Source organism: Homo sapiens, chromosome 11 (assembly GCF_000001405.40).
Source record: "Homo sapiens chromosome 11, GRCh38.p14 Primary Assembly".
Taxonomy (NCBI): Eukaryota; Metazoa; Chordata; class Mammalia; order Primates; family Hominidae; genus Homo; species Homo sapiens.
The window spans coordinates 32663602-32676479 of record NC_000011.10 but is presented as its reverse complement, the minus strand read 5'-3'; the positions used below and the strand labels follow the sequence as shown (position 1 = coordinate 32676479).

At 37.0% G+C, this 12878-nt stretch overlaps 1 protein-coding gene across 4 annotated transcripts in view; it reads left to right on the top strand.

The window, feature by feature from the left end:
- Positions 1 to 12878, top strand: part of CCDC73 (coiled-coil domain containing 73) — a 227865-nt gene that overhangs the window by 154106 nt on the left and 60881 nt on the right. For all 4 annotated transcript variants that reach the window (XM_047427029.1, NM_001008391.4, XM_047427030.1 and 1 more), the window contains 2 exons: positions 459 to 594; positions 836 to 915. In XM_047427029.1, the coding sequence (XP_047282985.1) occupies positions 459 to 594; positions 836 to 915 (216 nt within the window). The remainder of the gene's footprint in view (positions 1 to 458; positions 595 to 835; positions 916 to 12878) is intronic.

The following is a 12878-nucleotide window of genomic DNA, read 5'->3' as shown; positions in this document are numbered from 1 at the left end:
TTTTGGTAGTGTACATTGAAATTATTCTAGCAAATTGAAAGGGCAAAGAATCAAAACAGTGATCTAGATAGGTCCTGATTATTCAAATGATTTAGAGAAAAAATACCTCGTAAAGTACCAAAAGTATTGCTTTTTCTCCTCACTTTTCTTAGTGTTAGGCTGATTAACATTTTTTATAAAAATATTTTGAAAAAGAAATTGCAAACAAGGGAAACATAACCTGAAGTGACTATTTTGCTACAGGAAAAATATGTTTGCTTTAGTTTTACATAGATTTAGAAATATCTCCTAACAAATATTTCCTCCTTACAGTTTACTCAGAGAGTACTTTTAAATGACATTTATTTATGTTATATTACTAACAACAGTGGTTTACCACAATATATTTTACATATTTGTTGTGTGTGGCGATGTGTGTGTGTTATATGTATAACATTTAAAATTACTCTTCAAAATAGGAACAAAAGGTCCAGTTACATCTTCTGGCTAAAGAAGACTATCATAAGCAACTGAGTGAAATTGAGAAATATTATGCCACAATAACAGGTCAATTTGGATTGGTAAAAGAGAATCATGAAAAGTTAGAACAAAATGGTATGTGCTATCTTATTTAAATATACATATTCAGTAGAGAATGTTTGAATGGACTTATTTACTATGAATACATTGAATATCTATGATAATACTGATAATAGTAAATGGCAGTTAATAACTGTTACCTAAATTAAATAACATATATATTGCATTGTTACTGTTTTCCCTGTTTATCTTAATGATACTTTCTTTGAAATATACATTGAATATAATGCTTTCTTAAATGTCTTTCATGTTGCAGTACGGGAAGCAATACAATCAAACAAAAGACTTTCAGCTTTAAATAAAAAACAAGAAGCTGAAATATGCAGTTTAAAGAAGGTATGATTGATACAGTTTCACACTACTAAGTAAAAATTATAATATAAAATAGTCTTATGCGCTATTACTAGAGGACAGTTGGGTAGAATTTTTTGGTAGAGGATAAATTGTTTTCAATACAGATGCATAAATTTTGAGTTATGATTCCAGTAAAGGTAATTAGTGCATTTGTTGCAATCCATTCAAAATATTATTTCTTTGACTTGTGACCAGTAGCATGCATTTTTATGATCACATGAATACCTTATAAGGATTCATTGTATGTCATCCTTATTAGCACCATTCATTCAATATTTATTGAGTGACTTTTATATACTGGGTGCTATGTGGCACTAAGGATACAGCTATGAAGAAAATAAAACATGTTTCTACTTTTACGAAAGTTAGAGTCTGGTGGTGGAGTTAGATGTAAAACAAATAATTACACAGACTAAATAATGTAAAACTATTATAAATGAGCAGAAGAAAAAGTGAAAGATGTGATGACATCACAGGTGACTTTATTAGATTGGGGGTAAGAGGGTGAAGGAGGGAAGGGAGTAATGTTTCAGGCAAGGGGAATAGCATGTGCAAAAGCTTTGAGACAGGAAAGAGTTTAGTATATTTGAGGAACTAAAAAAAGTCTGATATGGCTGGAGCATCATGAATGAAGCTGTGAATCGAACATTTATTTGTTGCTTACTGAGATTCAGTATCCGCTTGCCTTCTTCCTAACCTTATCTAGATTTTTGTTTTGATGTCTCCAGCTTTAGAGCTGAGCCCCAAATTGGCAGGAGAACACAAACATATTTCTTTCTTCTGACCATAGGCATTGGTTCAGGTATAGATAAATGACTTTAGCTAGCTTCTGATTATAAACCAGGAAGAACATAACCTCTATTGTGGCTGGCAGTCAGCCTACAATAGGCTGAGAAAAGCCAAAAAATAGGAACCTGACAATGTGGATGCCAGATTGGTATGACATAAAGAAACCTGTTCTTTGATGACATTATTGAGTAACTGGATCAACCAACCCTGCTTCTTGTCCTACCTCTAGACATTTAAATTATGTGAACCAATAAGTTCCCATTATTTAAGCCAGGTTGGTTAGGGCCAATTCAGTTTTCCATGATTTGCAACTAAAAATATTCCAACTGACACAAAGGGAGAGTTGGTACAAGAGGAAGAAGTAGGTAAGGCTTTGTTCTTTCTGTAGAGAATGATATCTGTTTTCCTTTTCCCACTCCCTTCCAATCCCTCTCTCGATACTGCTTTGAATCATTTTAGGACCACCTCCCTACCTCTGAGAGAATTAAGTACCTATGCTTACTGGCACTCCATAAATATTTTGAAACAATATTTACTGAGTACCATTTAAAATGCACTTAATTTGTAGTTATTTATTATATTGGCATGCAAAAAAATCTTCTGTTTGCCCCTCCAGATCTATACTTACCTTTTGAAGGCTTATGTATATGGGTTGCATCAATGGGCTTCCACGTCTTCTGACTTCCTGTTGAGCTGGGCCAGTGGAGAGCCTAGGCAGGAGATGGGAGGAAGAAGAGAGTGAATCAGGGTATTTATTCCCCCTGTTCCTTCCCTCTGAGATAACTTCAGGCTGGCCATGTGCCTCAACAGATCACTACTTCTCTCAAATTGGCGTAATCTACATGATACTCTCCCTTTTGGGGTTCCAGTAACCTCTCTTCTTGACCTTCTGGGTCTAGAGGTGGTGACAGCTACAGTGCTGCTAGTCAGTGGAACTTGAGCCATCCCTTGTGGTTCTTTTATATCCTTCGTGCACCTTTGCAAATAAACCCATCTTCAGGTTATCCTAGTTGATGTTTGCCATCTGTTTCCGTTGGGATTCTGACATACACTTGTTTAGGGTAAAACATTAGTGAGGCCAAAGTTAGGAATTCAATTTTGTATAGGCTAGTTGATTCAGTACAGAGAAAGTTGTTTCACAGTCAAAGATTGCACTCTAAACCTCACCTATATTTTTTAGTTGTATATTTTGGACTCAAGGGATAAATGAATATGAATGAAATGAATACTAATTTGGGTCAATGTTGTCATCTTGACGCTAAAGGATCCTATTTTTAAAAGGAAAAAAATACCAAAAATTGAAGCATTTATACCTTTATATATACATAGACTTTCACTATTTTAATATAATTTAATATATTTTAATTAATAAACTATTTTTAGAGCAGTTTTAGGTTCACAGCAAAACTGAATAGAAAGTACAGAGTTCCTGTATACTTCCTGTCCTCACACATGCACAACCTCTCCCACTATCACATCCTCACTAGCATTTGGTGTTGTCAGTGTTTTGGATGTTGGTCATTTTGATTGGTGTGTAGTGGTATCTTGTTTTGATTTGCAATTCCCTAATGACATATGATGTTGAACATATTTTCATATACCTACTTGTCATCTGTGTGTATTTTTTGTTAAAGTGTCTGTTCAGGCCTTGGGCCCATTTTTTAATTGGGTTGTTTGTTTTCTTATTGTTGAGTTTTAAGAGTTCTTTATATATTTTGGATAGCAGTACCTTCTAAATGCTAAGCCAGAGTTTGAAGACCATTAATATTATAATACTATTGACTGTGATATGTATATCTTCACTGTTACAACTGCCAATAAATTGGTTATATATTCCTTGGACTTCATTCTTATACCTGAGGGATCAGAAAGTAAAAGCATAGGTGTATTTCAGTACAGAACATTAGGATGGGTGGTGATAATCATGTTTCTGGCCCTTAAAAGTCTGTCTATTTAGCAAACTACTTAAGAGTACAATTAATATATATGTAGAAAACATTTCTTTTTAGATACATCCTCGAAAATTAGAGGTGGCTCTTTTTAATATAAAGAGAAAAAGCTATAATTTAAAAAATCTGTTTGGAATCCCAAGTAAGAATTATTAAAAGGACCACTCATTTCTATCAGTATAAACTTCAAATACAAATATAAATAACTATTAAATCAGTAGGTGTGAATAAACACATTTTCATTGATGTCTCTTTGGTTCATTTATGTGTTAATATTTTTAACAATGACTTTAGTAATTAAATAACATTCATATTAATTTGGTGATTAAAATATTAATAAGCCTTTATACAATTAGTTTATGCATTCTTATGAAAATATGCCTCATAAATTCTGTACTAATTTTTTGCATTAAATGAAAACAGATGTTTCATTGTAACATAATAGACTATTATATTTCTTTTTTCTTTCGACAGAGTCTTGCTCTGTTGCCCAGGCTGGAATGCAATGGCGCAATCTCGGCTCATTGCAACCTCTGCCTCCTGGGTTCAAGCCATTCTCCTGCCTCAGCCTCCCAAGTAGCTGGGACTACAGGCATGCACCACCATGCCTAGCTAATTTTTGTATTTTTAGTAGAGACGGGGTTTCACTGTCTTGGCCAGGCTGTTCTCAAACTCCTGACCTCAAGTGATCTGCCCGCCCAAAGTTCTGGGATTACAGGTTTGAGTCACCATGCCTGGCCTGCCTATTATATTTCTAATGCACAATTTAAGACTCTGACCTATGGATGTAGATGAGGCTCATGTAGATTCATGGAGAGATACCCTTAGTGGATTTATGTAAGAAGGCGCAGAATGTCTTTCTATGCGTGAGAAGAATGGTGTTGCTCATGAGAACACTAGCCTCTTTCTCTCAGGTCTTGGGGCCTAGGCTAGGGCTACCTAAATGTACTAACATGTCATGCAGTAGTGGCCTCTGTCACTCTAGAAACTATTAGTGTCAGTGTTCATGCTGCAAAGTTGTTCTTGGAAGACAGACTGTTATAGAAGGGTAAAGTGAGAAAATTTAATTACCTTTGCGACTTCAAAGTTCAAGTAACTGAAAGGGTGAGAATTTTAAAATACATATTCAGAGCCAGTTTTTAATATTGTAGACATTCTAAGTACACTAATTTTAAATTTTATGTGTCTTATGTAGCTTTGATTTTTAACTTTGGGAAAAGCTTGTTTTTTTGTTAACTTTCAGAAGAGAATCAAATTTTATAACATTGGTTATATCACTTATTTAAAACTTCTAATCACTAATTCTCCCAAAGACAATTTCCATTTTTATTATACTGTTCTATGATTTTGTCCAGAACAGTTGTTATTGGTTTGTGATAAGATGGAATTTCTTTTTTTTTTTTTTTTTTTGGAGCAAAGTTAAACAGACCAAACTTAGTGGTTAGATAAAAACTAGGTATTACCATTCTGAATGCTGAGTTCACCATTATGGCAATCATGAAGAATTCCTGATACTATCTATGAGCAGCATTCATAACCTCTGCTGTTTGTCTGAGTAAATGTCAGAGCACTCAAGGAGATAGTGATATTAAACAGACTACCCCATACCAGAAAGGGAGGGGTGAAGGAGAAAAGAGCGCAATATTTATGACTGCAGGAACTATAAGTTGTAATTTAATGAGATCAAAGCATTGCTGTTTATTTGCTGCACTAATAGCTTTGAATAAAATGGTTAGAAAACAGACAGTGTACTAAAAGTTCAGGATATTTAAAGGCTTATAAAGTCTATAAAATCAAAAGCATGTTTTTCAGTGGAAGATCTTTTCCTGAGGTCTCTGATTTTAATTTATTATGCTCTTGAGATTAAGTAATTAATATATAAAAGAAAAAGAAAGATGTAAGAAATTACTAGTTTTTACTTTTGTCAGTCATATACTGATTTTCTATACCCTTCTCCTCCCCGCCTCCCTATTGTCTTATAGCAATAATTGTAATAGGAATTGATGCATTTTAGAGTATCTCCTACAAGACTTAGCTGATTATAACAGCTCCATGTTTTCAATTGTTGAAAAATGTAGAAAAACATAGACATTTGTCGCATTTTGTAATCTTGAAGAGGAAAAAACTTTTAGAAAACCAATCTTTATGTAGAGAATTAAAAGCCATTTTATCCAAATATAAGTTTTACCCATATACCTGTTATCAATAGGACATTGCGTTTTAGGAGTGAACCTAGAACAGATCACTAGTGTAAAACAAGCTATCAATAATTTTTTTTTTTTTTTTTGAGACAGAGCCTTGCTCTGTTGCCCAGGCTGGAGTGCAGTGGTGCAATCTTGGCTCACTGCAAGCTCCGCCCCCCAGGTTCACGCCATTCTCCTGCCTCAGCCTCCTGAGTAGCTGGGACTACAGGCACCGGCCACCACGCCGGGCTAATTTTTTGTATTTTTAGTAGAGACGGGGTTTCACCGTGTTAACCAGGATGGTCTCGATCTCCTGACCTTGTAATCCGCCTGCCTCTGCCTCCCAAAGTGCTGGGATTACAGGTGTGAGCCACTGTGCCTGGCCGCTATCCAATAATTTACTTTCTAAGTCATGTGGATATCTATTTCATCCAGGGGTATATTGCTTTAGGAAAAAATATAGGAAAATCAAAATTGCAAGGAATTATTGCTGGTTTTCCTTTGAAACTTATCTTAGTGCATAAGAAAGCACCTTTAAAGCAAGCTGTTAGAAACCCTATTGTGTAAAGAAAGGTGTACATTATTTTAAAGCCAATATGATTAGTATCTTTTTTAAAAAGTAGACTCAATTGACAACCCCACTGCTGGGTATACACCCAAAGAAAAAGAAATCAGTATATTGAAGAGATATCTGCACTCCCATGTTTGTTGCAGCACTGTTCACAATAGCCAAGATTCGAAAGCAACCCAAGTGTCCATCAACAGATGAATGGATAAAGAAAATGTGGTACCCATACACAGTGGAGTACTATTCAGCCACGAAGAAGAATAAGATACTGTCATTTGCAAAAACATGGATAGAACTAGAGGTCATTATGTTAAGTGAAATAAGCCAGGCACAGAAAGATAAACATTACAGTTCTCATTTATTTGTGGGATCTAAAAATCAAAATAATTGAACTCATGGAGATAGAGAGTAGAATGATGGTTACCAGAGCCTGGGAAATGTAGTGAGGGGCGGGGTGGGGGGAAGATGGGTGTGGTTAATGGGTACAAAGAAATTAGAAAGAATGAATAAGACATAGTATTTGATAGCACAACAGGGTGATTATTGTCAGTGATAATTGTATATTTAAAAATAACTAAATAGTAATTGGATTTTTTATAACACAAACGATAAATCCTTCAGGGGATGGGTACCCCATTTTCTATGATGTGACTATTACACACTGCATACGTATATCAGAACATTTAATATACCCCATAAATATATACACCTATGTACCCATAAAAATTAAAAATTAAAAAAATCAGTTGAGCATAAAAGATTTCCTTTTGTTATTCTCATGTTAAACTCTGTACTAGAAAACAATATAAATATCAGTCAAACATCCTATAAATATGAATTTGGATGAAATCTTTAGGGTTCTGTAGCAGATATTTTACCTTTGAATTAATTTCATAATTTTTTAAGACGTTAATTACTGAAACAACTAGATTTATTTTTATATCCTTCAGTATCCATAGTTGTTTTAATTATTATCTCATGTTTTTGAATATTTTTCCACAGTGGAAATTATGAATTCAATAAGTTATTTTGTTCAATAAGTTAAGTCAAAGACCATCTGGCCTATGGACTTGAATAATTATTTATTATACTTGTTTTCTACTGTGTACTTGCATCTGAACTTATTCAAAATTTACTTATTTTAAACTCACAGTTTAGGGCTGCTGGTTACAACACTGAAGGTTTTTCTCTAGCCATAAAATATGCTGTTAACATATTTAACATAATGTTTACCACTCACCGTCTACTAACCTTTATTTTGGCAGTATTGGTAATAAAACTGCACTTGTCTGTTCACACTTAAATCAGAAACATCTATGTGTAACATGGTGATGTAAAGGGCTGTGGTTGTTACCTTGAATGGAGTAAAGTAGCTAGTTCAATCAGTGATTGAACTGTCACTATACTTACACATACCACTTTCTAAGCAACCTTGCTAATTGACCATGAACCTTTGTGTCATTAACAATAGTATGCTTGAGTGATATGACTGCTCTCATCAAGTATTTTTTTTTGCCATTTACTTTTATCCTGAGTAAATCCAATCTTTGATTTTATCAACTTTTATATTAGACAAAGGTAAATCGCATTTTTCTTTATATCATGTTCATTACTCTTTTCTACTTACATTTATTATAATTTGTAGTTTCTCTTAGATCTTTGAATCTATTAAGGTACTACAGGATATTTAAGTATGAAACATGGTGCATTTTCTTGAGGAGCTTATGGTCTATAGGAAAGCCTTTATTGTTACCGGCTATGAGATAATTAATCTTAATTATTTAAATACATAAAGGAATACTTAAATATTCATGCCATTTATTAGTACTTGAGAGTACTTTATTTTACCAGTAGGGAAAATAATTCTACATCACAGTGCAGCTGTAGCAATTACAGAATCCCTTGAATTCGGCTTAGTAGAAGTAATAGGTAACAGTGCCTTGCACGTGGTAGATGCTCAAATACTGGTTGCATGGATTATTACATGCCAGGGACTTTTTATTTATTATCTCCATTTTATAGATGAGGAACTTAAAGCAAAATGAAGTTATTAAGTAAGTTGCCTAAAGTTATACAACAAGGAAAAGAGAGCCAAGATTGGAACACAGACAAATTTTGTCTGTAGAACCTCTGATCTTAACCATTCCACTGATAATAATAGCAGCACAAGCAATTCATTCACATAAGTTTTTTCTCTCCTGTATTCTCCATTAGGAATAATATATTTATTAAAAGGGGACATTGTTGGGGGGTGGTTCCAAGATGGCTGAATAGGAACAGCTCCAGTCTACAGCTCCCAGTGTGAGCGATGCAGAAGACAGGTGATTTCTGCATTTCCAACTGAGGTACCAGGTTCATCTCATTGGGGCTTGTTGGACAGTGGGTGCAGAGCAGTGGGTGTAGCCCACCAAGAGTGAGCTGAAGCAGGGCGAGGCATCGCCTCACCAGGGAAGTGCAAGGGGTCAGGGAATTCCCTTTCCTAGCCAAGGGAGCTGTGACAGACGGCACCTGGAAAATCGGGTCACTCCCACCCTAATACTGCGCTTTTCCAATGGTCCTAGCAAATGGCACACCAGGAGATTATATCCTGTGCCTGGCTTGGACGGTGCCACACCCACGGAGCATTGCTCACTGCTAGCACAGCAGTCTGAGATCAAACTGCAAGGCAGCAGCGAGGCTGGGGGAGGGGCACCCACCATTGCTGAGGCTTGAGTAGGTAAACAAAGCGGCCAGGAAGCTCGAACTGGGTGGAGCCCACCACAGCTCAAGGAGGCCTGCCTGCCTCTGTAGACTCCACCTCTAGGGGCAGGGCATAGCCAAACAAAAGGCAGCAGAAACCTCTGCAGACTTAAATGTCCCTGTCTGACAGCTTCGAAGAGAGTAGTGGTTCTCCCAGCACGGAGTTTGAGATCTGAGAATGGACAGACTGCCTCCTCAAGTGGGTCCCTGACCTCCGAGTAGCCTAACTGGGGGGCACACCCCAGTAGGGGCAGACTGACACCTCACACGGCCGACCGTGTGCCCCTCTGAGACGAAGCTTCCAGAGGAACAATCAGGCAGCAACATTTGCTGTTGAGCGATATTCACGGTTCTGCAGCCTCTGCTGGTGATAGCCAGGCAAACAGGGTCTGGAGTGGACCTCCAGCAAACTCCAACAGACCTGCAGCTGAGGGTCCTGACTGTTAGAAGGAAGACTAACAAACAGAAAGGACATCTACACGAAAACCCCATCTGTACGTCACCATTATCAAAGACCAAAGGTAGATAAAACCACAAAGATGGGGAAAAAACAGAGCAGAAAAGCTGAAAATTCTAAACATCAGAGTACCTCTCCCCCTCCAAAGGAACGCAGCTCCTCGCCAGCAATGGAACAAAGCTGGATGGAGAATGACTTTGACGGGTTGAGAGCAGAAGGCTTCAGACAATCAAACTTCTCCGAGCTAAAGGAGGAAGGTCGAACCCATCGCAAAGAAGCTAAAAACCTTGAAAAAAGATGAGATGAATGGCTAACTAGAATAACCAGTTTAGAAAAGTCCTTAAATGACCTGATGGAGCTGAAAACCACGGCACGAGAACTACATGACGAATGCACAAGCTTCAGTAGCCGATTCGATTAACTGGAAGAAAGAGTACCAGTGATTGAAGATCAAATGAATAAAATGAAGTGAGAAGAGAAGTTTAGGGAAAAAGAGTAAAAAGAAATGAATAAAGCCTCCAAGAAATATGGGACTATGTGAAAAGACCAAATCTATGCCTGGTTGGTGTACCTGAAAGTGACGGGGAGAATGGAACCAAGTTGAAAACCACTCAGCAGGGTATTATCCAGGAGAACTTCCCCAACCTAGCAAGGCAGGCCAACATTCAAATTCAGGAAATACAGAGAATGCCACAAAGATACTCTTTGAGAAGAGCAACTCCAAGAAACATAATTGTCAGATTCACCAAAGTTGAAATGAAGGAAAAAATGTTAAGGGCAGCCAGAGAGAAACATCAGGTTACCCACAAAGGGAAGCCCATCAGACTAACAGCAGATATCTCAGCAGAAACACTACAAGCCAGAAGAGAGTGTGGGCCATATATTCAACATTCTTAAAGAAAATAATTTTCAACCCAGAATTTCATATCCAGCCAAACTAAGCTTCATAAGTGAAGGAGAAATAAAATCCTTTATAGACAAGCAAATGCTGAGAGATTTTGTCACTACCAGGCCTGCCCTACCAGAGCTCCTGAAGGAAGCACTAAACATGGGAAGGAACAACCAGTACCAGCCACCGCAAAAACATGCCAAAATGTAGAGACCATTGATGCTAGGAAGAAACTGCATCAACTAACAAGGAAAATAACCATCTAACATCATAATGACAGAATCAAATTGACACATAACAATATTAACCTTAAATGTAAATGGGCTAAATGCTCCAATTAAAAGACACAGACTGGCAAATTGGATAAAGAGTCAAGACCCATCAGTGTGCAGTATTCAGGAGACCCATCTCACGTGCAGAGACACACATAGGCTCAAGATAAAGGGATGGAGGAAGATCTACCAAGCAAATGGAAAACAAAAAAAGACAGGGGTTGCAATCCGAGTCTCTGATAAGACAGACTTTAAACCAACAAAGATCAAAAGGGACAAAGAAGGCCATTACATAATGGTAAAGGGATCAATTCAACAAGAAGAGCTAACTATCCTAAATATATATGCACCCAATACAGGAGCACCCAGATTCATAAAGCAAGTCCTTAGAGACCTACAAAGAGACTTAGACTCCCACACAATAATAATGGGAGACTTTAACACCCCACTGTCAACATTAGACAGATCAACAAAACAGAAAGTTAAAAAGGATATCCAGGAATTGAACTCAGCTCTGCACCAAGCGGACCTAATAGACATCTACAGAACTCTCCACCCCAAATCAACAGAATATACATTTTTCTCAGCACCACATCACACTTATTCCAAAATTGACCACATAGTTGGAAGTAAAGCACTCCTCAGCAAATGTAGAAGAACAGAAATTATAACAAACTGTCTCTCAAACCACAGTGCAATCAAATTAGAACTCAGGATTAAGAAACTCACTCAAAACCGCTCAACTACATGGAAACTGAACAACCTGCTCCTGAATGACTACTGGGTACATAATGAAATGAAGGCAGACATGAAGATGTTCTTCGAAACCAACGAGAACAAAGACACAACATACCAGAATCTCTGGGACACATTTAAAGCAGTGTGTAGAGGGAAATTTATAGCAGTAAATGCCCACAAGAGAAAGCAGGAAAGATCTAAAATTGACACCCTAACATCACAAGCAAGAGCAAACACATTCAAAAGCTAGCAGAAGGCAAGAAATAACTAAGATTGTAGCAGAAATGAAATAGAGACATAAAAAACCCTTCAAAAATATCATTGAATGCAGCAGCTGATTTTTTGAAAAGATCAACAAAATTGATAGACCCCAGCAAGCCTAATAAAAAAGAAAAGAGAAGAATCAAATAGACACAATAAAAAAGGATAAAGGGGATATCACCACCAATCCCACGGAAATACAAACTACCATCAGAGAATACTATAAACACCTCTACGCAAATAAACTAGAAAATCTAGAAGAAATGAATAAATTCCTGGACACATACACTCTCCCAAGACTAAACGACAAAGAAGTTGAATCCCTGAATAGACCAATAACAGGATCTGAAATTGAGGTAGTAATTAATAGCCTACCAACCAAAAAAAGTCCAGGACCAGACAGATTCACAGCCAAATTCTACCGGAGGTACAAGGAGGAGCTGGTACCAGTCCTTCTGAAACTACTCCAATCAATAGAAAAAGAGGGAATCCTCCCTAACTCATTTTATGAGGCCAGCATCATCCTGATACCAAAGCCTGGCAGAGACACAATAAAAAAAGAGAATTTTAGACCAATATCCCTAATGAACATCGATGCAAAAATCCTCAATAAAATAGTGGCAAACCGAATCCAGCAGCACATCAAAAAGCTTATCCACCATGATCAACTGGGCTTCATCCCTGGGATGCAAGGTTGGTTCAACATATGCAAATCAATAAGTGTAATCCAGCATATAAACAGAACCAACGACATAAACCACATGATTATCTCAATAGATGCACAAAAGGCCTTTGACAAAATTCAACAGCCCTTCATGCTAAAAACTCTCAATAAATTAGGTATTGATGGGATGTATCTCAAAATAATAAGAGCTATTTATGACAAACCCACAGCCAACATCATACTGAATGGGCAAAAACTCGAAGCATTCCCTTTGAAAACTGGCACAAGACAGGGATGCCCTATCTCACCACTCCTATTCAACATAGTGTTGGAAGTTCTGACCAGGGCAATCAGGCAAGAGAAAGAAATAAAGGGTATTCAATCAGGAAAAGAGGAAGTCAAATTGTCTCTGTTTGCAGATGACATGACTGTATAT